We start from the raw sequence: 27884 nt of genomic DNA on the forward strand, positions 1-27884 counted from the left end.
AGCTCTAACATTCTAAGGAGCATCACTTTATCATTAATTTAGAAGTCATTCCAAGAACCAAGAGAATCTCTCTATGTATTCTGTGATTACTCAATGAATTCTTGGTTTACCCAATAGCAATCTGAAGGTAAATTATACACATAACGTTAGAGGAGAATTTTAAATTTGAGTCAATTATTCCAATGAGCAAATAAAATTCAACACAGAGACTATGGGCTTCTCTAATAGTGAGCCATCCATCACTAATGTACACCACTCTATTTATTATTTGTATTCATCTGCTTCAGTTGAGACAACAAAGTACCACAGACTGAGTTGCTTAAACAACAGAAATTCATTTCTCATAGTTCTGGAGACTGGAAGTCCAAGATCAAGGTGTCCACAAGGTAGGTTTTATTCTGAGGACTCTTTTCTTGGATTATAGGTGGCTTCTATCTCACTGTGTACTCAGATGACCTCTTTTTTTGTGATAATTTCTCTTCCTCTCTCTCTCCTTTTCTCTCTCTCTCTCTCTCTCTCTATCACATTATGAAGACACTAATCCCGTCATGAGGACTATACCTTCATGATCTCATCTAACCTGAATTACCTTCCAAAGGTCCATCTCCAAATACCATCACATGGGGTGTATAGTTAGGTCTATAAATTTAAAGAGAATATAAGTCAGTTCATAGTATTATTGATTTCTTAAATATAGTATTTTCATCAAAAAGAATTATTCTTAGTATCAAACAACTTTGCTGTCATATTGAAATGAAGAACAAAATTTAAAACTAACCTTGAAATTTAGACTGGGTCTTAAAGGGGAAAGACTATTTATTCTAGTACATCCTTATTTATACAAATGACTGGAAAATGTAAACACATTAAAGAAAGAAATGAACACAAAACAAGCAGCCAGAACAATCTGAAAGGGTTCAAGAGACTTTGTAAACAGAGTTATATGATAATAAAGTATGTTTTGACAGATGTGTAATATGCTATTTGGCCTACAGAAGATATCTGTGGTCATTTCAAAAAAAATTAGAAGGCATAAGGGAGAATTACAATATTAAAAAATGGAATTGTGAAATGAATCATACACAGCTAAATAACCTTTGCTGACTTTTAGAACATATTATAAAACGTTTTGTTTAATGTGCAACACATATAATTTGGTTCTAAATATTCTTTGTTTTTAATTGTGACAATCAAGAGTAATCTTTAAAACAGTGAACTGGCATAGTCCAGGCATCAGCCAATCTGTACACATTGGAAAAGAATCCTACAGGCCCTGCCATGCCAGTGGACCCTGTAGTTTCTGGATTCTGTTGATGTCTACTGGGGTTTTGGGGAGAGGGGATGGTGGCAGCTGAAATGGCGAAGGAACCTAGAAGAGAGAAGAATCAGAGTTTTAGCAACCAATATAGAATTATTTAAATATTATAACTGCACCAGTGTGTACCAGCTATACATCAGTCCTAATAATAATTTATGAGTAATTGAAAGGCAACTTCGAATATAAATGCTTTCTCCCAGTATGATCAAAATATGTCTCTTGACAATAATCACTACATAAAATTTATTTTTTTAATTAATATATTTTAGCACTTTACAGCTGAAAAAGGGATATTGGAGTTAATTTCATCAAAATTGTTACATTTCAATAGTGGGTTAATAAAAAAATTGATGGATGAATTTTATGTCTGTGCATGACTACTACATATGTATATACATATTACTATGGCATATGATATACACATGTACATATAGAGCTGATATATATATGTGTGTATACACACACACACACACACACACACACACATGCTTTAAATAAAAGTTGCTATGTATTTACTTTAAATCAAAATTGTATTTTCTGCATTGGTTTCAGCCTACTTAGCTTTAAGAAAAAAATGATTTCTCACTTCTCATTTCCTATTTTCATTTTTAATAATTTCTCATTTAAAACTAGTCAGAACCTGTTGGGAGAAAAAAACAAATCAGAATACATTTATTAGCATATTTTACACAAAGCTGTACAGTGAATACTATTTTAAAGTTTCTCAAATTTAAAACATGTCAATGGAATTTTACCAGTGATAGTATAATACTGTGAAACATAAGAGAAGAAAACAAGGTTTTGTCTAAGCAAGTAAAGGCAAGACATAGAAATAATATTTGCTTAACAGTATTCTTAGTAATTTGAACACCAAAAGAAGTGAAAAATGCATGAGGATGAGAAGTTTCTTACCATAGGTAAACAAAATTATATTTTATATTTTGAAATGCATAATATTATTTTTTAAAACTACGAATAAATAGGAAAAATTCTATGTCATGTTATACGGGAGTAACATAGACCTGGGGTCACATTATATATTTTGTTTCTTTCTTTCAGATCCCCAGATGTCATTAGGAATTCCATCAAAACAACCAAAATGGAATAATTTTAATACTTAATAATGTGTGTAATGAAGTGGGATATTTTTGTCACCATTTCTTGTTTTCCTTAATTTTTAATCAGTGCCTATATTTTCTAAGTTACCTAAATATTGCTTATAACTGTCATATTGACCATACAATGTGCACAATGTAATCAAATGCAACTATATTTTTACATCTCATTCTCTCTTTAAATTTTTTTCAGTGGAGGTGATCTTCTCTTGGCCCAAAATGAAAATTCAATTCAGTGTCATGAGTTTTATTCCCACTCTTAGGTAATGGAAAGTTCGAGGCGACTTTAGGTCACAAAGCAGTCTCAATCTAATAATTCTAAAATAAGATATTAATCTATGCTCTAATTTTTATCTGAAGGTAACACTCCTCTTCACTCTGCCGACTTTGTCCTGTGAATGACTGCTGCCTGAATTAGGAGAAGAGATGTGGTCAGCTTTACCCCAGTAACTTCTTTACCCCAGTAACTTCTTTCCCCATTAAGTACATGATATTTTAAATCCCGCCATAGTGGAATCAGGGCAAAGGAGTATCAGGGCAAAATATGGATACAACTGTTTTAATTTGGATAGGTGCTTTTGAGATTTCTAGGCTGACTCTCTCATGGAGGACTTTTGTAGATCCTTCAAAGAGTTCCATCACTAAAGCCTTTCATTTGCTTTCTCATGTCATAGGCAAAGTACCGATTTACCAACCTGCCATGCCCACTCCATTACTCTGTCCCTGGTTTACTGAAAGTACCATGTAATAGTTAAGACTCTCAATGTTTTTTATTTATTTGTTTATTCATTTATCTAGTATAAATTTAAGGGGTACAATGGAAGCTTTTTCACATGGCTACATTGCATCATGGTGAAGTCTGTGCTTTTAGTGTAACCATCACCTGAATAATGTACATTATTACCCGTGAAGAAATTTCTCATCCCTCACACCCCTGCCAAACTCTTACCCTTGAGTCTCCAGTATCGATTATTCCACACTCTACACGCATGTGCAGACATTATTTAGCCCCCACTCATAAGTGAAAACATGCAGGTTTGTGACTTTCTGTTTTCAATTTGTTTCACATAATATTATGGCCACCAATTCCATCCATATTGCTGCAAAAGATGATTTTATTCGTTTTAATGGCTGAATAGTATTCCTGTGTGTGTGTGTGTGTTTGTGTGTGTGTGTGTGTGTGTGTGTACAGACAACATTTTCTTTATCCAATAAACCATTGATGAACATTTAGGCTGATCCCGTATCTTTGCTATTGTAAATAATGCTATGATAAATATATAATTGAGTGCAGGTATCTTTTGATATAATGATTTCTTTTAAGACCATAAGTTTTTATGTTAAATAAACTTGGTTTTAAATCAGCACCTGTTATTTGTCAATGAAAATCTTAATATAAATTAATTTACTAAGCTTCAAGATGTGTCTGTGCGTGTGTCTGTCTGTCTGTCTCTGTGTGTGTGTGTGTGTGTGTGTGTGTGTGTTCAGTATTTTTCCATCAATATTGAACACTAAACTCTTTCTTCAGGGACAAGTAGCCTAGAAAATAAATTCCTCAGGCACAGTTGCCATCAGGAGTCAAGTTCACATTCAAATCAATGAGATAACTAGTACAAGAATTTTAAGGAAGAAGAGGAGAGGCTATTATTCTGCTCTAACAGTAGCAGGTTCATGTGGAGACAGAAGGTAACTATGAAGATTTTAGTACCTTCCAGGAGAGCTCCTGAAAATTACCTGTGTTGGTATAGGAGGCAATAGTGATAATTAGCATTTCCCTGTAATTTCAATAATTCCCAGTGTCCTCAAATCCAGTAGTGGTTCTCTCTGGACCATACTCATCAGTCCTATCAAAGTTTTGTAAGCATGTAATATATCACACTCCTTACTAAAATATCTAAATGGCTTCTATACTCTAACTTGATTAATACATGTGTAGGCTGAAAAAAATGTGTATATCTCAGGATTACACTGGGAAACATATGAGATAAAGCTTTTAGCACAGTGTCCTGCCATCATCACTGTTTTTTTGTTGTTGCTTTTTACTGTTGGTTCAATGTTCTTCCTGACCCTAATCTCCCTGATGACTATAGTGTAAATACTATGCATCTCATAATTAGCCACTGTGCATAAAAGAAAAAGCTAACTTCCAAACTCAAGATTTCCAACAGTGAATTCAGCATTTGCAACTGAAAACCTTCTTGAAATATTATTTTGAACACTGGACATGAAACTTCAGAATTATTTTTGACTAATTTCTTTAACTTGTTATATTAAATCAATTATGTTCACTCTCTCCCTGCAGCATCGTTCTCATATATTTGTCTCCATTTCTAAGGGAGCTACCATAATACAGGGATGATGAAATGTAAATTATATAATCCATTCAATCATCCAGTACACCCAGTAGAGTGCTGATCCATAGTAGGCTTTCAATTCTCATTACCTTCTGTTTCCCATAAGGCTTTCAATACTATTGTAAGTATCTCTAATTGCTGTCCTTGTAAGTGTCCACTTGGTAACTTTGCCTCTGGTATCTCCCAGTTCTCATCTATATAACATTCGATTGCCAAATTAATCTTCCTAAAAGAGCCTTCTGAGCATGGCATTGCAATTGTCAGAAAACTTCAATTACCAACAGAATAAATTTGTATATTTGTGCCTTTCTCCCTAGGAATTCAGTTTTCCGTACTCTATCTGTGTGTAACTGCCTAATGTTAACCTCTCACTGCTTCTCTCTTTATGCCTCATTTTCTAGTAAGACTGAATTAGTTACTCTTCCCAGTTAATCCTATTTTGTATTTCTGTTTTTACTGTCTGTCCTTCTGTCTAAAATGCCTTTCTTCCCATGTTTATCTACCGTAATTGTACTGATCTTTTAAGGTGCTATTCAAATCTCATGTTGCAAACAGAGCCATGCCTAAGTGAACTTTCCCTCTTTTGTGACTTTGTTATGGCTAAATTGACTATAGTCTGCCTTATATTTGGTATATTTTCATGTATACTAGTTAATTTTCTTGGCTTTTCTACCATAAGACAGAGATTGGAGCTACCTTCTAATCCTGGTACAAGAAAATGCAGGATAATGAAAACTTGTTAAGACCATTGGCTAAAAGTTCAGACCTAAGTAAAACGTCACCTCTTCTATTTCCTAGCAGCATGACTATGTAACATAGGTTAATCTAAATCTTCACTGTTATCTTTAAAAAAATGATAAAATCGTATTTTACTTTTAAAGTCCTGTGTGCCACTTAATCAATCAATCAATATTTCATTTTCCTTACCTATTTTTGAAAACATATGATAAAAACGTATCTCTTTTATTAGGAGTATAGTTTATAACCTACAAGATGCTTTGACACTGGTGACTATTAATATTTGTTGCATCAATATACATAAATTGCAGCCTCTATAATATATTTACAATGAGTTTTACAGCAGCTCAACTGCTTAGAGTAGAATGACTTCTTTAGTATTTATAAAAGTAGAAAATTTTCTCTGTTTCCAAAATATTTTACATTGGCCTCTATTATTTTCATTTTTCCAATGAAAATCTTTCTCTCATACCTCATGGGTCAACAGATTACTCATTTCTCCTGTTTTCATACTCCCTGGGTTAGATTATCCTGCTGTTTACTTTCCTATATTCAAAAAGGTAATCTTAACATCCTGATTGACCAAAGGATCACCTTGGTACATGTTTACCAACAGAACATTAACTATGGCTTCAAAATGGAAAGTGCATCATTTCCCTAAAGGGAAGAGATGCTTTCAATCACACATGAGCAGTCTGGATTTTGCTTGGGTAGGGATTGTACATCTAGAGGAACCTGAAAGGGCAAAGTATTTCTCATGCCAAATTTTATAGGATGCAACTGACCAATTAAAAAACAAAGGAGTCAGCATTTGTGTGTGTCCCTTCAGGAGGTATCATGTCAGCAAGTTATTCTTCATTGCAGCGTTTTAACACACCATTAAGCAGCATTCGTGGTCAAACTGATGTTGCTGTGGCTTTTCTTTGCTGCTCCCAGTACCCTTGAACGCTACAGAAAAAAAAAGTCAATGATCTGATAATCATAGGAATCAACAAGGTTTATTTGGAGGAGTACTGGATGTGGAATTAGATTATTCAATTTTTCGACATGGTTAATCAAATAATATATGATAGCCATTGGAGAAATTCCAATTCAAGATTGTGAAATAGTGATAACATAGGCAGAAGGAAGAGACAGACATAAAAACAAGTGATTACAACCACATGCAGAAAGTGAGATATGGCAATATACTACAAATTGATCAGATTGTCAAAGGTATTTATGGATCTATATTGTATCTGATTGGCTGTTGAAGTTTTTCCACTTACTTAACTATTATTACTCTAGAGCTTTTCTGCTAGTTGTCAACCAGATCAAAGTCTTTCTTTTTCTTTGCACATCTTATCCTGCACAAAACTAAGTTCTTACATCACTTATAAAGCCTTTATCTTAATTTATATTATAGTACTCTTAGTAAATGCTATTACAGTAGCACTGAGGGAGCAAATTTTAGCTGACAGAATTGTTATCTGGAGCAATTTTCTAAGCAAGTCGTGTGTGTGTGTGTATTTTATATATGAAATTAGGACAAATACAAAGTTTTACCATAGGTTGTAATTGGACTACATTTTGTATCCACTTCAATTCAGACTCAAATAATTAAGTCTGCTCAAGAAATCCCAAAATTAGCACTAAAGGCAAGCAAGCTGTTACTATTCCTAATAATCGCTACAGACTAATTGCTGCAAAAAAAAAGTTAAAATGTAACATCCAAATAAAAGTATCAGTAAACGATATTAAAAAGACAATTTTTAAACAAGTATGAGAGCATAATGAGCATTTTTTTTTCTACAGAGACAGGGTCTTGTTATTTTGCCCAGGCTGGTCTTCTATTCCTGAGCTCAAATGATGCTCCCACCTTGGCCTCCCAAAGTACTGGGATTACAGGTGTGAACCACTGCACTCAGCCAAATAATAAGCACATTTTTAAAGGTACCATCAGTTTCTACTATTTGTGAGCATACACTGCCTCTAGGAGCATTGGTACATTTCTAGGGAACCTTTATAAAGGAACCTTCATATAGTAAATTTCTGATTTTAGAAATTTATCTAAAAGAAAATTTGGAGATGCAGAAAACATTTTATACATGAATACTCTTTCAAAATAATATGAAATAATAATAATAGTGTAATAGGGGCAGCTGCTATTTATTAGATGCCTGTGGTATTGTATGATGTACTTTATAAAATCTAATTCTGATTGTTAAACCCTGGCAACCATTATAATAGAATGATTTATATTCCTTTGGGGATATACTCCGTAATGGGATTTTTAGGTCAAATAGTATTTCTGGTTCTAGATCTTTGAGGTCATGTCCTTTGCAGGGACATGGAGGGAGCTGGAAGCCATTATCCTCAGCTAACTAACACAGGAACAGAAAACCAAACACGCATGTTCTCACTTATAAGTAAGTGGGAGCTGAACAATGAGAACAAATGGACGGAGGGAGGGGAACATCACACATTGGGGCCTGTCGGGAATGAGGTGGAAGGGAGAGCATCAAGATAAATAGATAAGTTTTCAAGGGCTTAATACCTAGGTGATGGTTTGATAGGTGCAGCAACCACAGTGACACACGTTTACTTATGTAACAAATCTGCATGTCCTGCACATGTACTCCAAAACTTTAAAAAAAAAAAAAAAAACCTGGCCAGGCACGGTGGCTCATGCCTGTAATCACAGCACTTTGGGAGGCTGAGGCGGGTGGATCATAAGGTCAGGAGTTTGAGACCAGCCTGGCCAACATGGTGAAACCCCCTCTCTAAAAATACAAAAATACACAATACTAAAAATACAAAAATTAGTCAGGTGTGGTGGCGAGCGCCTGTAATCCCAGCTACTCGGGAGGCTAAGGCAGGAGAATCACTTGAACCGGGAGGCAGATGTTGCAGTGAGCCGAGATCGTGCCACTGCACTCCAGCCTAGACAACAAGAGCAAGACTCCATCTCAAAAAAATAAAAAAAGAAAAAGAAAAACCCTGGAAATCAAGTATAGGTAACCACATGTAAGCAATAAAGGAGTGCATTGTACGTAGAAAACATACAAATCATAAAATGTACTAACATTTATTTTTTTTTTTAACCACAGTACCATCAGTTCTAAATTTCATTGACAAAAATACTCCTTGCAAAATTCTTTTGTAAGTTTATGTTTTAAACAATCGCTGTGATTGAGATTTAATAACATAGATGTAATTTTCAAATTAGTTTTAAAATAATGTATTATTTAATATTTATTCTATTATTATAATACATAAAGTTAATTTTGTCAGTTTCCAGTTATATAGCTAGCCCCCAAAATACATGAATTCAGTGATGAGCATTTATTTAGAGAATAACTAACCTAATGATTTCAAATGGTTGAACTCAATTCAGGTTACCATTGGGTCTGCAGCCCTTGTGGTGCTACATATTCCTGTCTTTATGCACTAGATTAGAAATAAACAATGATACAGTGATTGTAAAGAGAAAAAAAACAGAAGTAGACTTACTTTAATTCTGGCATTTTATATGTCTGTTGGAAATTCTTTCTTTTTTTTAAGTACACGCATTTGAAAGCTGCTAGAATTGATTCTGAAATAACAAAGGCATGGCCAGTTTTTAATTTCTAGAATTGATTGTGCAAAGGAATTTTTATAATTTCTGCCAAATTTTTTCTTATGTTTAAATTTCTTCCTACATATTTGTGTATCCTTTCATATGAGATAAAAATTTTAAATTAATATAAATAAAAGGTGTTATTTGATAAATTATCAATAAAGATAACCTGACCAACTTGGCTATACTGTCTACTGAATATGATGTCTTCTAATGAGAAGACAATTAAGCCTGAAACAAAATAATTAACATATTTGAAAAAGTTAAGGGTTAGAAACTTTAATGCTATGATTCATATTAATAGTCATCACTTATAATACCAGGCAAATAAGTAGCTCTGAGTTTTTTCCCTCTTTTCAAAAGCTATACAAAATATACCAAATTAATTATAAAATATTAATATATAACAAAAAATTTCTTTATACAGAAATTTTCATCTTTATACAGAAAATTTTAAAAATTTATTTACTGACAAAATTATGCACACACACATGAAGTACAATTAGGAAAAGTTTCACTGTCTGATTTTTTTTCTGAACATGATTATTTGTTTCATTTCCTGTTTATTTTTGAAAACAATTCTGCCATATGAAAAGGGGGTATTAAAAATGATCCACTCCAGGTGACACATGTAGCAGGTACATGACTGCCTAGTAGGTCAAAGAGTAATTGAGGAATTGAGAAGTTACATGCTTGATTATCAATCAAGTTATATCAAATTTCATGCTTATAAAATGTAACAAGAATATTTATTTCACTGTGCTCATGTTAATGAAAGAAAAAGTTCTATAAACAAATGATTTGAAGTCTTCAAAGCAAATAAAGACAATATAAAATATATTTAACACTTCGATCTGCCATAAGAAAATACCAGAGACCAGGTAGCTTCATTCACAAAAATTTATCTTCCATGGTTCTAGAGTTCAAGATCCATGTGGCAGCAAGGTAGCTTTTATTTTGATGCCTCTTCTCTTGGCTTGTAGGTGGTCACCATCTTGCTGTGTGCTCAGTGTCCTCTGCTTTGTGCAAGTGTGAGCAGAGAGGGAGAGAAGAGAGCAAGCCCCCTAGTATCTCCTCTTACAAGGACACCAATCCCTTAATGAGGGCAGCCACCTCATGATCCCATCTAACCCTAACTACCTTCCAAAGGCCTTGTCTATAAATACCATCATATTGGGGGCTAGGGTTTTAACATATACATTTGATGGGGTAGGGGAGCCCAAACATTCAGTCCATAACATAAAATAATTCAGGAAAAACAGATTTATAATATACTTGTTCTGTAGTCAAAAGTATATTTTCAGCTTCAGTGAGGCAAATTAATATGCTATCCATTGTGGTTTCTGCAGAGGTCTTTGCTGATTAAAAAGAACACTCATACCTCTTTCTCAATCTAACAGTTTTCTGTAAACTTGATGTCTGTACCACATTGCTTTTTCACTCTGTTGTCTGAGGATATTGATTATACATGGCATGGCATGCTTAGTCATTATACTGAGGTTGAAAGAAAATTATGTTCAAAAATGACATAGCACATTACATATTCTTTACATTTGGTCAAGTATATTTGAGAATTAATTCTTCACAGATAATGCCCAAGGGCTTTGACAAAAGGAAATTGAATCATTGATGTTTTCTTCATTGTGGGGTGAATGCAATTCAAGCCGGTGGAGAAAACCACGTTAGTCATGGAAAGCTCCCTAGGGTTGCCTATGTCAAAAGATATGTGACATATATGTACATTACTAAAGATATTTTATACTACTTATTTACAGCATAAAAATCAAACTACAATTATTGGAATCAGAGTTTTAAGCAAAAGAGTTACTCTGTGACATCACTTTTCTGTCACTAATTTTGACAGTTCTGAACTTCTGAAACCAAATACAGCTGATCATGGAAAAAGCCCAAAGGCTTTTCAATCAAATGAAATTAGGCCTCAACACTGCTGGGAAGTAGATGCGTCTTAATGTTTTAGATTAGAAAAGAGTAACATGGAGGCTAAAACATGTTAAATGAATTGCTCAAGGCCACTCATTAAAAGCATCACTGGCCTTTCTGAGGTATTTTATCAGATGAAAGCCAGACTAATTCTGTGATTTTATTACACCCATTGTGCTTAGCTGGTTAGTAGATACTTTCTTTTATCTGGAAAAACTGTAGATTTATTACCTTTTGTGTGCAGTCTTGAGGGGATGGAGCATGACAAAGGGGCACAAGGTTTTGCCTTACAATATTTGAAATGTCTAGAAACCCCAGATTTTTGTCTGGCTTTTCCTGATACTAATAGTATGTCTTCCAAATTAATGTACTTATATTTATTGAAAATAAAACGATACTACAGAAAAAGTATGCAATGTGTTACTTTGTGGTGGGTTCCCCTCTTCCCTTTATTTTGAAAAGCAGTTAGCTCTTTTCCTATAAGCCAAGAAATATTTTCATTCCTGTAATACATGAGAGAGGAATCGGGCCTAGCTAAGTTTTCATATTGCTCTTTGAGTGTATTTAAGTATGCTAGTAGTCAACTTTTATTAAAGTAATTTCTATTGGGTGTATTTTACGGCTTAGCAAAGAGGCAGTATTGGGGTTTTATTCATTGTGGCTTATAATAAAAGGAACTTGAGTGACATACCATAGAGAGGCGTCCCATGATAAACTGGTACTTAGAAAACTAGACTAAATGTCTTGGAACACATTAGGAAACAATTTCCTATTAAATTTTGAAATCTTTCTCTAGGTTTAGTGTCTATAAAAATAATCATCAGAGTTCTTCAAGGTTATTTTTTTTAAAGACTTTGAAAGAGTTCCAAATAGGATGTATGTTTTTTTAATATTTTTATTTTGTAGCACCTGAATTCATTTTTCAGTTTTCCTAGTCCAAAGTTAGTCATTATTGCCTTGCTAAATATAATCATGTTTGCTTGGACAATATTACAAATAGATTTTCAGAAAATTCCAGTGAAATATCAAGTATTTTGACTGACACACAGAACTCGCTGTAACATTATTATGAAAGGGACAGAAAGGTATGTTTTTTTAGCAGTGTAGTGGCAGTAAATCTCAATTCCTACAAAATTGGCCTTCCATTTCAAGTCTTAATGTTAGAATTATTCTAATAATTTCTCCCATAGAACAATGCAGACTCAAAGGTATGATTAGAAATTTTACCATAATTTACAAGAATTAATATAATCTAATAATGTGTAACAATTTTGTATATTTCTACTCTGGGGCATAATATTCCTAGGGAATATATCAGTCAAGCAGATTTATATATATCCTATTTCCAGTTTCCTAAGTGTCACCTAATTCTATCTGCCCCACCAAATTGGCCTTGGAAGCATTATAGTAACACAATATGTATGCAAAAATGCAATATACCAGCAATTTTACTCTTATAATACATCAGATTTAATGCCTCATCAGATTCCATCTTTACTTTTTGTTATTGCAGATGTTCCACTTTTAAGAAATGTTTTATGTAATTAAAAAACACCAACTAGACATCCCCATTTAGCAAATATTTACATTAAAGAAAACAGAAAACTTTATTTGAGCATCTCTTATAGGAAAGATAATAGTTTTTTGGAACTGAAGCAAGTATTTTGAATTAATCTCATACATTGAAAGTAAAAATTCTTGTTAATTGTATTTTCTGTATTTTTGAGTCATATAATATTGAAATATTATGATAGCAAATATTAATCAAATCTCAGCCAGGCATGGTGGCTCACTGTAATCCCAGCAGTTTGCGAGGCCAAGGCAGGTGAATTGCTTAAGTCCAGGAGTTCGAGACCAACCGGGGTAACATGGCGAAACACAATCTCTACCAAAAATACAAAAAAAGATTAGCCAGGCCTGGTGGCATGTCCCTCTAGTCCCAGCTACTAGCGAGGCTGAAGTGGGAGAATTGCTTGAGCCCGGAAGGTCAAGGCTGCAGTGAGCAGTGATCATGCAACTGCATTTCAGCCTGGGCGACAGAATAAGACCCTGTCTCAAAAATAAATAAATAAATAGTCTCATTTAATGCACAGAATGTGAAGCATTGTGAACTGGACAGAAAATTATCTTCAACTTTTCATTATTTTAAAGTTGGTAGACCAGGTGATTTGTAAGCCATGTTTTAACTGTGGTAATTTGCCAAAGGACTTTATAAATTAAATGGAAAGAATTTCGTCTTTTGTCAGTAAACTTTGAACCATATTTTGATTATACAGTTGATTATCATTATTTGTGGTAGTTGGGTTCTGTAAAGCAAACAGTAGAAGCATTGCTCACAGAGAAAAAATAAGATTAGGTTCCTATGAGCTTCTGATCATAACATTTCAGCAACTGAGCAATATATAACCTTGTTTTATATGTATTTCTATTTAATACCACCTCATTGAATATATATTGTCAATTTTGAACTTTGAACTCATGGCCAGCTTTAACTCATGTCTGAAGTTACTTTCTCCATAAGGCACATCACAGCCTTCTTGCACTTAGGAACACTTTGTAGAACTTCAGCACTATCACTGTTTTAAACACAAAAATCACTGACAAAAAGCACAAAGATGCAAAAAACATGACACCAAATAGACTGCAAAAAGGTCATTTACATATAGTAGGAGAGCTGAAACAAAAAGACTGAGCATTCTTTTGTTCTACCTTAGTTGGAACATGTGTCTTAGGCAACTCAAATTTTCTGCCACTCTGCATATGTACAAGTCCACAGATGCTCATTAAAGCACGGCAATATTGATTTTGGGGTTACAAATAAATTTTAGTAAGCATGACATTCTAAATACAGAATATGAGAATAATAAGCATTGATTAGATATACTTTGGAAGTTATGCGAGTGATTTTAGTGACTTTTGTCCTTTTTTTAAACGTTCATGTTAATTGAATGCATTTTTACATTCTATAACGATGTGATTCAAACCCTTATGAAGTGCTCTTGCTGATGCTAGTGCTAGTAGTGAAAAAACTAACCCACGATCAATAATTTTGGAGTAAATGTTAAATGTTATAAAATACAAAGCCAAAGGCCACCTTGCTGCTCATTTGGAGAAAGAACCCTTTAATAATAGAAATGATAATAGTTAAAAAGAAGTATTTAAGCAACAACTTGCTATCATTATTGTATAACTGTGTGCTCTAAGACTGTCAATCCAATTTTATACTAATATCTATATAAAACTAATCTTGAATAATTTATTTTTTCACCTATGGGGGTTATTCTGAAGTGCATGCCTAACATAAAATGCAACAACATTGGCCGGGCACAGTGGCTCACGTGTGCAATCCCAGCACTTTGGGAAGCCAAGGCAGGTGGATTACCTGAGATCAGGAGTTCAAGACCAACCTGACCAACATGGTAAAACCCCATCTCTACTAAAAATACAAAAATTAGCCAGGCGTGGTGGTGCATGCCTGTAATCGCAGCTACTTGGGAGGCAAAGGCAGGAGAATCGCTTGAACCCAGGAGGCAGAGGTTGCAGTGAGCTGAGATAGCACCACTGCACTCCAGCCTGGGCAACAGAGCAAAACTCCAGCTAAAAAAAAATGCAAAAACATTATAAATGCAAAAACAAAAAAAATGCAAAAACACGATATATATATATATATAATTATATATATCACTAAGTCATTTCTACGCTCTATAGCATATACATTTTGTCATTTTTTCATTTATTCATTCAGTAAATTTTTATGGGTTGTCAACTGTATTTCAACTATTACACAAGGCCTAGAAGATACAATGACAAATGAGACAGCATACCTGTTTTTGTGAAGCACATAATCTAGTGATAAAGTCAAATAAGAAGCAAAAAATAATAAAAAGGTATTATGTACTTGTTTGCACAGGGATTCACAGAAGAGATACCTATTTCGGACTTGGTAGGAATAGAGTGAGAAGGGCAGAGGCAGACGTTTTGGAAATGTTTCCAGAAGAACAGACATCTGAGCCAAGCACTGAAGAATGAGTAGAAGTTAGAGAGGCAATGATGATGTAATAGGGGTAAAGGAATGGCATGTTCTGAGCCAGAGGCTATGAAAAGACCAGAAGAACAAAAGAAGGTGAGTGCAAAACAGGGAAGCAGAAACAAATGAGGCCGCGGGAATAAACTGTCTAAAGATCATAAACAATTGTGCTTTCCTGATTGGTCAAAATACTTAAAATAATACAGAGAGGCATTGCTGAATTTGAAACAGAGAAGTGACATGTTGAGTGTGACAGTTTTAAAATATGGCCACAAAATTCTTTGGCACTTGTCCCTTTGAGTCTAGGCTTTATAACTGCTGGGCCAACAGAATATACAGCAGACATAATGCTGTGCCAGTTTCCAGGAAGTTGCCCATCTGGGAAACTTCTTTCTTTTGGTATAGATGCTCTTAGAAACCAGCCACTGTCTTGAAAGAGTTCTAAGCAATCCTGGAAAGCCCATATAGAAAGAGGCTTAAAGTTCCTGGCCCTGAGCTGAGCTTCCAATCAGAACCAACTTGCCAGCCATGTAAATTAGCCATCTTGGAAGTTCTTCTTTAGCCTTCGAGTGTTTCTTTTGACTCCGCATATAGTAGAGATGGTCCTTTCCCCCAAATTCTGGTCCAACTAGCAGACTTGGGGCTTAATAAATTATTATTGAGTTAAACCCCTGAACTTTGAGGTGGTTTGTCATGTAGCAATGGATGACTAGGACAATGGGACTGGTTTTTGTAAAGGTGACTGACATAGTTGTATTATGGAAGTATGATTGGAAAAAGCAAAACTAGAGATAGAGAAGTCACCTGGAAGTCCACTGAAAGATCCAGAAGAAAAAAGATGATGGCTAAAACTTAGGTAACTAGAGTTGGGAACACTTCCAATGTTGAACTGCACACATACCATGGGTAAATTCTATGGTAGGTAATTACACATTAATAAAATGTCTAAAAAATAAAAGTAAAACACAATGTTCAGGTTATGGCTTGAACGATTACATATATATGATTTTAATGTTCATGTGAGAATTCTATAAAGAAATCTATTCCTCCTTGCACTTTTGCTTATTTCCATGACATTGCAAATGGTTATCTTGCCAGTAAAAATCTTAGCTAGGCTCCTTAATTAATTACCAATGTTACATACAATATTCCCACCCAACTTACCTGCATTTAAGGATAACCATTCCACACAAAATTGAATTGTCTCATGTTTTACTTTTATAGAAGTATCAGTTTGAGAGAATTATGTTGGTAGGAGGTATTTTATAGCATATGCAAACCATTAACTGCTCTATTTATCCTAGGCTTTATTCTTCAGCCATGCTGCTAATGTGTGCTGAATTGTATCAGCCTCTCAGTTTCTTTCACTCAGTTGACTAAATTTGTTTTAGTCACAACTTACATTGAATGCCTTAAGCACTTCAACAAAGCGTAACATTTAATTTATTTTAAAGATTTATTGAAAACATTATTTAATACATCATTCCAGTATTACCTATTTGCAAAATAAAACTTATATATCAAGAAAAGTTATTTACCTGATAAATCAGTTTGCATTTGTATATGTATAATACAAATTATGCATTTGACTAGATTTTCTTTGGCCACCAGGAAGTTTAGAGTGAAATTTGTGGCTCAGATCTTATAATTACATAGAAACTTATGATTTGCATGACTACATCCTCACTTTCAACCTGGTCTTGAGCTGCCATTTTAGGTATTATTTACCTAATTCTGATTTTTGTTTACTTTTCTTCATGTTATTGGGTTATGTTAGAATTTTTGTGTTAGTTATTAAAAAACAAATATTGCTAGCATCAGTAGAAAAGGATAATTTATAATAAAAAACTCAGGTAAGTATGGAATCTTTTAATTTGTTAAGCTTATTTATTTATTTATTTATTTATTTGGTCTCTTATTCCTGCTCCTCTCTATGTATTTGCTGAATTTTGCCTAGCTGTGGCAGGAAGAATATGCCCCCCTCATAAAGCCAAAACATTCATGCTACAGGTCTTATCATGTGAAAAATGCATCATTTTGTCTACTTGTGTTGTTTGTCTTTCTCTCTTTCTCTCTCTCTCCCTTACCTACCCTTGCTTCACACTTACTTACTCACTTTTACTCTCTCTACCAATTCCTAGATTTCTAACAGAGACTTGACTTGGATCAGCTTGGGGAAATTGCTCACCTCTGGTGCTAAATACAAAGGCCAGAAGTTTGTGGGTCAACCAGGAAGCTCAGTGGGCAGATGGGCATTTCAGAGCCAGGCAGACATGCCAGATGATGTCTACCTCAGCATTTAATAAGGTCCTTCAAACTCTTTGCAGAAAAGCTTATCATTATAAGGAGGCATTGGTCCCCTTACAACCTAGGAGGTATATAACTTTTATCATTGCCATTTTGCAGATAAGGCATGAGGAGTTTGTGACTTGATATATACAGGAATTAAGTAGCAAAGCTGGAATTTTAACTGAGATGATCTTGTTCAAGTCTGAGATTTAGCCGCTATACGACACTTGTTTCTATGGAAGGGAAGAAGAATGAGGAAGTTCTACATAGTGCACTGCCCTCCTCATAATGCATTATCTGGAAGAGTTGACAGTTACATTTAGATAATTAAATATCCAACACAGGGCTTTCATACATCCATTGTTTCAAAATTAAATTGTTAGTGCTGCAATACTTGTACTTTCCCAAGAAAATACATTTAATATATGAAATTATTTTAAGAGATATGGCCACATTTTTCTAAACTTTTATTTTTCGTAAGATGCAGTCAGAATCAACATTGTTCCTCCCCCCATTTCCACCCCCCAAATTAATGTTTTACAAAAATAATCTAACACTTAATACATATTTGTATAATGTTTACATAACTGTTAGTAACTAAAAATAGAAGAAACACTCCAAACTGAGGTACAGAATTTAATTTTAATATAAAATTTTGACATGTTTGGTATCTCATGATAAGGTCACCATAATAAATGAGAAGGAATTATACATTTTACCTTAGTTCCTTTTTACTTTGCATTTAAATAAATGATTCAAGAATCAATATTCATTCATAATTTCTGAGGGCCTATTATGTGCCAGGTTCTAAACTAAGAGCAGAATAGTTACACATGCTATACATTTTGAAATAATAAAGAATCTTTCAAAATAGAGATTAAGATTCAATTTTTCAGATGAGGCAAAATTACGCAGAAAATTCAAGTTGCTTCTGAAAATCATAGACCAGAATCTGAGTTTCCTTCATCCTAACAAACATTTTATTCTACAGTGCTCCATGAAAATCTAAAAGCTGCCTTTCTAAAAGTCTTCTTGGTAATTAGAGCCTGATCAAAATTGTCATTATTATAAACTGTCTACCTCTCAAAAGAGCTATATATGTGTGAAGGCTGACCAACTGTTCACTACTTCACTTAGGACAGGCTGGGTCAAAACTATGATAATTGATAGATACAGGATGAGGCTGCATACCTAATGGAAATGTTAAGCACAAAGCAAATTCTGTCAACATAAATGATTGGTTCTTTAAATGGCAGCACAGTTTAAGGATGACATACTGAATCAATCCCTAACTAATTGAAAAATTAATTAGTGCCTGTCACTTTAACTCTGAGTATTTTTAAGCTTGAGTGTGAATATAGTTAACCAGCTTCCTGCAAGAAGCCAGTTTGAAAATGCAGTGCAACTGTTGCCTAAATTTTTCACAAGAAAAGATATCATCCTTTGTGGTCTTACATACCTTAAGGCTTAAAAATCCATCAACCCACTAATATCTATCAATGACACACTAGTAAATTGTGTCATTGTTATTATATCTCTTTTATTGTATGTCTTGTAAATTTAGCTATTGCTGCTGGCCTCATTAGGGTCTATTAGATTTATTAATCCTAGAAAGATAATAAAATGTGTTTAAATGTGTTTATGTTTACTATTTTCCCTAAAGCTAAATGTTGAGTATTTTAATATATTGAATATGCTAAAGGATCAAAAATAATAATAATGACTTCTTTAAAAGACACAATTTATACATCTATTACTTATTATTATAGCTCCTTTAGTCATCATGGAAGTGAAGTCCAAGAGTCATTCTATCAGAGATAAGGACTCAACATCTACTGAGTACCTACTAGTATCCATGCTGTATATTGACGTTCTGTGCTTATCCTTCAATACGGCCTTATGAAGTGGATATTATTATCTCCATCCAGCAGATAACAAATAGATAACCTAAGAGGCAAAGCTTTTTATTAAAGGCCCCATAGCCAATGGGGTATTAAGTATATGCAAGTCTGTGTTCTTTCTATACACTAGACTCTATCCCATTTGTAGATGAAATATGAGAACAGACAATTCAGAAATATGGAAACATAATTAGTAAATAAACAGAAAATAAAATGCTTATTCGTGGGAATGGAATAAATGTAAATCTAAACAATCATAATATATCATGTGTATTTGTAAAAGAAATATTGACTTAAAATGTTAATACGCAAAGCTGATGAAAATATGATAACACATGCCCAATCCTACTCTGCTTGAGCAACGGTAACATATTACAGTATTTTAGAAAAGTGTTTGGAATTATGTACCACTAGTCAAAACATGTTTATTCATCTTAATTCTATGATCTATTTCTGAAAATTTAGGCTGAGAAAATAATACAAAATAGGAAATCTGTCTTTATATAAAGATATTAATCATCACATATGGAAATGGTCATGTAGATTATTATACATCCATTGGATAGAATATTATGCAAAATAATATGGTTTGGCTCTGTGTCTCCACCCAAATATCACCCTGAATTGTAATACAAATTGTAAGGCCAATCGTAATTTGCATTTGTAATCTGAATTGTTATTGTTGAGGGATGGACCTGGTGGGAGGTGATTGGATCCTGGGAGTGGTTTTCCTCATGCTGTTCTTGTGATAGTGAGTGAATTCTCACAAGATCTGATGGTTTTATAAATGGCAGTTTTTTCTGCTCTCTCTCTCTCTCTCTCCTGCTGCCATATAAGATGTGCCTTGCTTTCCCTTCACCTTCTATCAGAATTGTAAGTTTCCTGAGCCCCCGCCCCAGACATGTAGAGCTGTGAGTCAATTAAGACTCTTCCCTTTACAAATCACCCAGTCTCTGGTTGTATCTTTATAACAGTGTGAGAATGGACTAATACAGAGAATTGGTACTGGGAGTTGGGGCACTGATGTAAAAATAACCTGAAAATGTGGAAGCAACTTTAAAACTGGGTAATGGGCAGAGGTTGGAACTGTTTGGAGGGTTCAGAAGACAATAGGAAGATGTGGGAAAGTTTGGAACTCCCTAGAGGCATGTTGAATGGTTTTGACCAAAATGCTGATAGTGATATAGACAATGAAGTTCTGGCTGAAGTTGTCTCAGATGGAAATAATAAATTTATTGAGAACCGGAGTAAAGGTCATTCTTGCTATGCTTTAGCAAAAAGGTCAGTGACATTTTGCCCTTTCTCTAGATATCTATGGAACTTTCAACTTGAGAGAGATGGTCTGAAATTGGAACTTATGTTTCAAAGGGAAGCAGGTCATAAAAGTTTGGAAATTTTGCAGCCTGACCATGTGATAGAAAAGAAAAACCCATTTTCTGGGGAGAAATTCAAGCCAGGTGCAGAAATTTGCATAAGTAATGAGGATCCAAATGTTAATCACCAGGACAATTGGGAAAATAGCTCCAAGGCATGTCAGAGACCTTAATGGCAGCCCCTCCCATCAGAGGCCCAGAGTCCTAGGAGGGAAAATGGTTTTGTGGGCCAGGCCCAGGGGCATGTCGCTCTGTGCAGCCTCAGGACTTGATTCCCTTATCTTAGCTACTCTAGCTCCAGCCATGGCTAAAAGGGGCTAACATACAGCTCAGGCCATTGCTTCAGAGGGTGCAAGACACAGACTTTGGTGGCTTGCAGGTGTTGGGCCTATAGCTACACAGAAGAGAAAAGTTGAGCTTTAGGAACCTCCACCTAGATTTCAGAGGATGTATGGAAATGCCTGGATGTCCAGGCAGAAGTTTGCTGCAGGGACGGATCCTTCATGGAGAACCTCTGGTGGGGCAGGGCAGAAGGGAAATATGGGGTTAGAGCCCTCACACAAAGTCCCCACTGGGGCACTGCCTGGTGGAGCTGTGAGAAGAGGGCCACCATCCTCCAGACCACAAAATGGTAGATCCACTGACAGCTTGCACCATACATTTGGAAAAACCTCAGGCACTCAATGCCAGCCCATAAAGGCAGCTGTGGGGGTTGTACCATGCAAAGCCACAGGGGTGGAGCTGCCCAAAACCATGAGAGCCCACCCCTTGCATCAGTGTGCCATGGGTGTTACAGGTGGAGTCAAAAAAATTTTGGAGCTTTAAGATTTACTGACTGCCAGCTGGATTTGGACTGGGTTTGGACTTCCATGAGGCCTGAAGCACCTTTGTTTTGGCCAATTTCTCCCACTGTGTCCCCATTGTATCTTGGATGTAACTAACTTGTTTTTGATTTTATAGACTCATAGGCAGAAGAGATTTGTCTCAGATGAGACTTTGGATTTGGACTTTTGAGTTAATGCTAGAATTAGTTAATACTTTGGAGAACTATTGGGAGGGCATGATTGTGTTTTGAAATGTGAGTACCGAGATTTGGGAGGAGTCAGGAGCAGAATGATATGGTTTGATGGTGTCCCCACCCAAACCTCATCTTGAATTGTAATTGGAATTGTAATCTCCAGGTGTCAAGGTAGGGACCTGGTGGGAGGTGATTGGATCATGGGTGGTTTTCCTCATGCTGTTCTTGTGACAGTGAGTGAATTCTCACAAGATCTGATGGTTTTATAAATGAGTTTCCCCTCTTCTCTCTCCCTTTCCTACTGCCATGTAAGGGGTGCCTTGCTTCCCCTTTGCCTTCTGCCATGATTGTAAGTTTCCTAAGGCCTCCACAGCCATGCAAAACTGTGAATCAATTAAACCTCTTTCCTGTAAAAATCATTTAGTCTCTGGTAGTATCTTCATAGCAATGTGAGAACGGACTAATATACAGGTCTTACAATTATTACAAAAGGTATCTTATTATTATCTTTAAAATATTATAAAGTAAAAACATCTAGATAAAATATTATATAAGAATTGTTATCAAAATTGTATAAATATAGATAAAGGAAAAAAGATTGTATGGAAGCAACCAAAATTTCAACCAGGGTTGATGTTACCATGAATTGTATGTTTCCTGTATATACTATACACTTTATTAAAAAAAAATGCTAAAAGAAAGAATACCAGAAGTCTGTAACTAAGCCTGCAAATCAAAGTGTAGAATAATATTAGGGTGCAGTCAATTCCTAAAAACAATAAGACAGTATCAATTATTTTGGAGAATGTATATATTTGACATCAGCAGCAATGGTTTTCTTATGATGATAAAGCTTGACAAGATCAATCTAGAAGGAATATTTCCATCAATTAGTGGGTTTTGTTCACCAGCAATTGTCTACCAAATGAGATCATGTATAGAAAAGGGCTTGATTAGCTCTGGCATGTACATATTATATTAATTTTGCTATTATCAAGAAAAGAATATATGGACAATATATACCTTTTGGGATCCAGATCTACTCAAGCTTGTTATCAGGGTGCTGTTCTATAAACTAGATTTTTTTTTTCTTATTATACTCAGTGAACACATGTCCTTCTGTATGCTTGTGTCATATTTTTTCTCCTCTATACATTATTCTTGAAATAATCACACTGAGGGAGGACATGGAAACTCACTTTTGTATTAGGTTGGTGCAAAAGTAATTGCAGTTTTTGCCATTGTATTAATTTTGCGAATAGTAAGAATCAGCAAGAATCTGTAAAAGATTTAGAGTGAAATACTAAGTATTAATTACTTACTATTATAAAATCTAATAGTCACAGGATATTCATACAGAAATAAGTTCAAAATGCAATCATGTCCAGGTGCAGTGGCTCACACCTGTAATCCCAACACTTTGGGACACCAAGGTGGGCAGATCACTTGAGGTGAGGCATTCAAGACCAGCCTGGCCAACATGGTGAAAATCCATCTCTACTGAAAATATAAAAAATTGGCTGGGCATGGTTGTGCATGCTTATAATCCCAACTACTCAGGAGGCTGAGGCAGGAGAATCATTTGAACCCAGGAGGCGGAGGTTGCAGTGAGCTGAGATGGCGCCATTGCACTCCAGTCTGGGTGACAAGAGTGAAACTCCTCTAAAAAAAAAATGCAATCAGGTCTTTAAATATTGTATTAAAGTGCAGTTTTTATATAACAATTATTTTGTCAATTTAAAAAGTGTTTAAATCATTTTCTGCTTCAAAATATTTAATGTAGTTTTAAATTACTACACCAAGTATTTCCCATATCAATACTGTTCATTGATATATCATCTACATATTTCATAATGGATATCAGGTAAAATATTAAGCATCTTTAATCAACTAAATTTAAGACTTCAAATGTTTTCATTGAGATTCATTAAACTGACAAAATTTAATAAACAGAATGCAATAAATAGTACTTTCCAATATAATATAAATGGGAGGAGCTTTTGCATAACATTTACTGTTTATCTCATAATGACTTCCACTTTTCTTGCTTGTTTTTCAATCAGATTTATTCTGCTTTCTCAGGTGAGTTAATTTGCCCCTTCAAATTCACAGACCATGTCTACTATCTCCAGACTTCCCACCATCTTTCCCCACCTTTGTTCCTTTTGTCTAAAGGGATAATAGGCTTCTTGGAAAAACATTTTTTAGGTGACATGGGTTTTACATGAAATTGCTGGGGAACTAGGGAAAGGTGGCATATGTGGGCATATGTTGGTTTTGAAATGATTTCAAGACTGTAAAGCAGAAGGAAATCTAGCACTTTCAGAAATAGCAAAGGAGAGAGATTTCTGTAGATATCTGTAACTGTTCATATAATTTTGAATTTTCTATTTTTCACACTTTACAGGGATCTCAAATTTGTACATGATTGTCTTTTTGTGGCATTTGTTGCAGCCCAAAGAAGTGCTCATTGTTATCTCAGTACATAACATCCTTGATAATTCTTTAGAGATGCATCACTCAGTAGGAATCAGTTACCATTGGACACTAATAAGCACATAGCAGTCTGAAACAGAGGAACGTTAACACAACAGCTTAGGAAATGTAAGGCAGCCTGATTCATAATATATCTGATTCAAGCTATTGATGCATAATGGGCACAAAAATAAAATCTATGCCCTTTACTATTAAGAACAGAAGCCTGGCAAACCCCTTCCAAATAGCCACTCTATGTAGAATGTACACATGCTGTTGCTTTTTCTCACATGCATATGAAGAGTGAGAAGTTTAAAAGACTAGAGGGAAAAAAAGCAATACCTCAAAATTATGTATGTGACAATATGTCCTTTGGTAAATCTACTTGTGAAAGATAAAAGAGATGTTTTAGAAAAACAAAGCCCATGCCTGGCTAAACAAAGCAATGATCCTGAAAGATCATTGCCTCATTTCCCTTTGTGTTTCTACTGTGCTAATGCATGTCAAGCATTTAGAAGAGTTTCTAGCACATAGAAACTTCTTTTTTTTTTTTTTTCGGAGAGACAAGGTCTCACTATGTTGCCCAGGCTTGTCTCAAACTCCTGGGTTCAAGTAATCCTTCTTCCTCAGTCTCCCAAAGTGCTGAGATTACAAGTGTAAGCCATCACACCCAGCCCAGAAATATTTAATAAATATTTGCTACTACTACGGTGGCTGTGGCTACTGTTGCTGATGCTATGGCTAGTACTACTATTGACTACAAAATTGTAATCTCTAGTGCAAAGTAACAAAATAATCCACCTTTGAAATCAGGAAATCAAAACAAGACTTCGATCTATATCATTTACTAGTTGTGTGGCCTTGGGAAATTAAAATAACTTTTGGAACCTCCCTTCCAAAAGTTATTTTGGAACGTCCTCCTCCCTGTCTTGTCCTTCAAATAAAGGTATTAATAATAATAATTCATGGAATTGTTATTAGAATGTCATGAAATTAAGTGTGATATATAAATACAATCAGTTATTAACATTCTACATATTACGTTGCAGATTTAAAATTAAATGGTTCTTTCTGTCTTTTATTGGGGCTAATTTTGATGTGACAATTTCTAAATTATTACCACATGAGTATAAGTCACAGGATACAATATAGTCTTTCTAGCATCACACTGTATGAACTTGAAAATAAATTCCATCTGTTCTCCTCCAGCCCCCTCTCCTTCACAAACAGCAATGTACTTACTCATTTGTGCTACCTGGCTGCTTGGTTACCAAAATAAATGTATTAGCAACATCAGATTTGGTTAAAATACTTCCCTTCTCAGGGAATGTATAAATGAATTTGCATAAAAATAGAACTGGCATACAACAGTTTCACAACAATAGATACTCTTCTATCCACTTATCATAAACTCTGGAGGTCTTTGCCTTGCATTCAGCAATTCCAGCAGTTAATCCCTTAGGCAAAATGCATTTGCTGCACATCTATTATATACTCAAACATAGTTTTAGCAACAGTATGAATATGAAATTAAAATGTTCCTGCCTGCCCAGGCGTGGTGGCTCACACCTGTAATTCCAGCACTTTTGGAGGCCGAGGCAGGCAGATCACGAGGTCAGGAGTTCGAGACCAGCCTGGCCAATATAGTGAAACCCGTCTCTACTAAAAACACAAAAAATTAGCCAGGTGTGGTGGTGGGCACCTGTAATCCCAGCTACCCCAGATGCTGAGGCAGGACAATTGCTTGAATCCGGGAGGCGGAGGTTGCAGTGAGCCAAGATCATGCCATTGCACTCCAGCCTGGGCAACAGAGCGAGACTCTGTCTCAAAAAAAAAAAAATGTTCCTGCCCTTGAGGACCTTACAGCTCCATTGTTAAAGCAAGGTATATTTTCACAACAACAACAACAACAACAACAACAACAACAAAAAAATTAAAATGAATTTTGTTAATTTCATAGAGCACAGAAGGCAAAGCCAATTATATGAATTGATGGAGGAATAAATCATCAGTAAATTGATGAAGCAGAATAAATCTGAAGTATTCTGAAAGTTTTGAAAATATTCACAAAGATCTAAATCTAAATTTAAAGCCTGAATCACTACTTTGAAAAGTCTGTCTTCTTTCTCCTCTTTTCTTTTTCTCTTTGACCACTTTACTTCAAAAACATTACCACCAGGCAACTGCTCAAATTGGATAAATTGCTATAGAGACATTTGATATGTGGCCCCAAAATGCTGTTTCCTACTTCATTTGATGATGCTTAGCATTTGGTTTTCAGTTGAGATTCCTTCTAAGTTCATACCTTCAGCATCAAAACTAATACTTTTATTCCAGCAAGTAGACAGATAAATATGTTCACCTAAGTATAGCTGGCTCTATATAAATAGACTCTTTATATATATATGACCCTATAACCTAAACACCCTCTTAGTATTAATAGTTATCTTTCTTTGTGATTTCTCCTCTTTGAGGATTTCTTGCTTTGCTTTTTGGTGCCCCAGAAGACTCCCTTGGGATTTTCTCTCAGTAAATAATTATGTCAAAATTCTCTGACTGTGAGATTATTTATTCATTGGAGATTATTTACGCTCTCATGGCCAAACAGAGTATGGCTAGAATGCAGGGAGGTCTTATTTCCTTACTGTTCTTTCCACGCCATTGTGATTTTTCCTTCTCTCAGTAAGCCTTTATCTTTTGAGATGCCTGCCATCTTAGGCTACCTTTTCCACAATTCTTTACATTATCTACCAATTTTTAGATCATAACTCCACATTTAGCATTTTTCTCAACTAACTCACACCCTTTCTTTCATTACAACTCAGCTAATTTCAAGATCTAAGTGAATTTTAACAACTACCTATAGGTGAATGATGCTAAATCCATATTCTAGCATCCTTCTTTCTCTTAAACTCAGGAATAATTCCTCCTCTTGGATCTATTCATTCCGAACCATTCTGGAACTCTGAACTGTAGATTTTCTTGCCTTCTTCTTGTATCTGAGTTTAAAAAATATCTGTGTGTGTTTTTCCCCTGTAGCATGTAAACATTGTCAATTATCTGATATTTTCCCCAGAAAAGTTTTTAATCAATTTCCCTTCATAATTTGCTGCTTCCTTCTGTCCTCTTTACTAGCAACTTCTTTAAGAAAGAAGTTTCTAGGTCTACTTCTTCACCACATTGCAATTTGTCTCCTAATAGTAAACTGTACTGAAATTTCTGGAATGAAAGTCAGCAGTGGCTTCTTATTGGTCAAATTCACACCTATCTTATGTTCTTATCTGTTTCTACATCTGGTTCATCACTGCCTCCTCTTCCTTTCAATTCTTATGTATCAATTTTACCCAGGAGGGGTTGAACACCATTAGTTACTAAACAGTCATTTCCTGTCTCCTTACCCTCACTGCAAATCCCATTGCCTATAACAAAGGCTGAAAATGAATGTCATTCTCTTTCCTGAAGCTCCCTTAAGATTTTTGTGGCTTATGGTGAGTTCCTTCCAATGAGGCAAAGAAAAATCTTCTACCAAGTCTTCTCAAAAACACTTACTCCACAAATAGAAAGGGAGATGAAAGATTAAAACTCATATCCATTCTATTGTTCCTTGCTATATGTGGACTGCTTGTACAAGTAAATGATGCTTGCAGCTTTGGGAACCATTTTTTGACAATAAGGTCATAGGTTAAAAAAAAAGGTGAAAAGACCCTTAGTCCTTGATGACAGTGAGAGTGACCAAA

The 27884-nt window shown here is 35.0% G+C and overlaps 1 long non-coding RNA gene across 2 annotated transcripts in view; it reads right to left on the bottom strand.

The window, feature by feature from the left end:
* Positions 1-1115: 1115 nt before the first annotated feature.
* The window catches only part of LOC105377262 (uncharacterized), a 214769-nt gene continuing 188000 nt past the window's right edge, over positions 1116-27884 (bottom strand). The window contains exons 2-4 of one of the 2 annotated variants that reach the window (XR_938847.2): positions 9018-9099; positions 6311-6473; positions 1116-1369 (exon numbers count right to left, since the gene is read on the bottom strand). This is a non-coding gene — a long non-coding RNA (uncharacterized LOC105377262). The remainder of the gene's footprint in view (positions 1370-6310; positions 6474-9017; positions 9100-27884) is intronic. The other variant, XR_938848.2, reaches the window with a different exon arrangement.

Source organism: Homo sapiens, chromosome 4 (genome assembly GCF_000001405.40).
Source record: "Homo sapiens chromosome 4, GRCh38.p14 Primary Assembly".
Taxonomy (NCBI): Eukaryota; Metazoa; Chordata; class Mammalia; order Primates; family Hominidae; genus Homo; species Homo sapiens.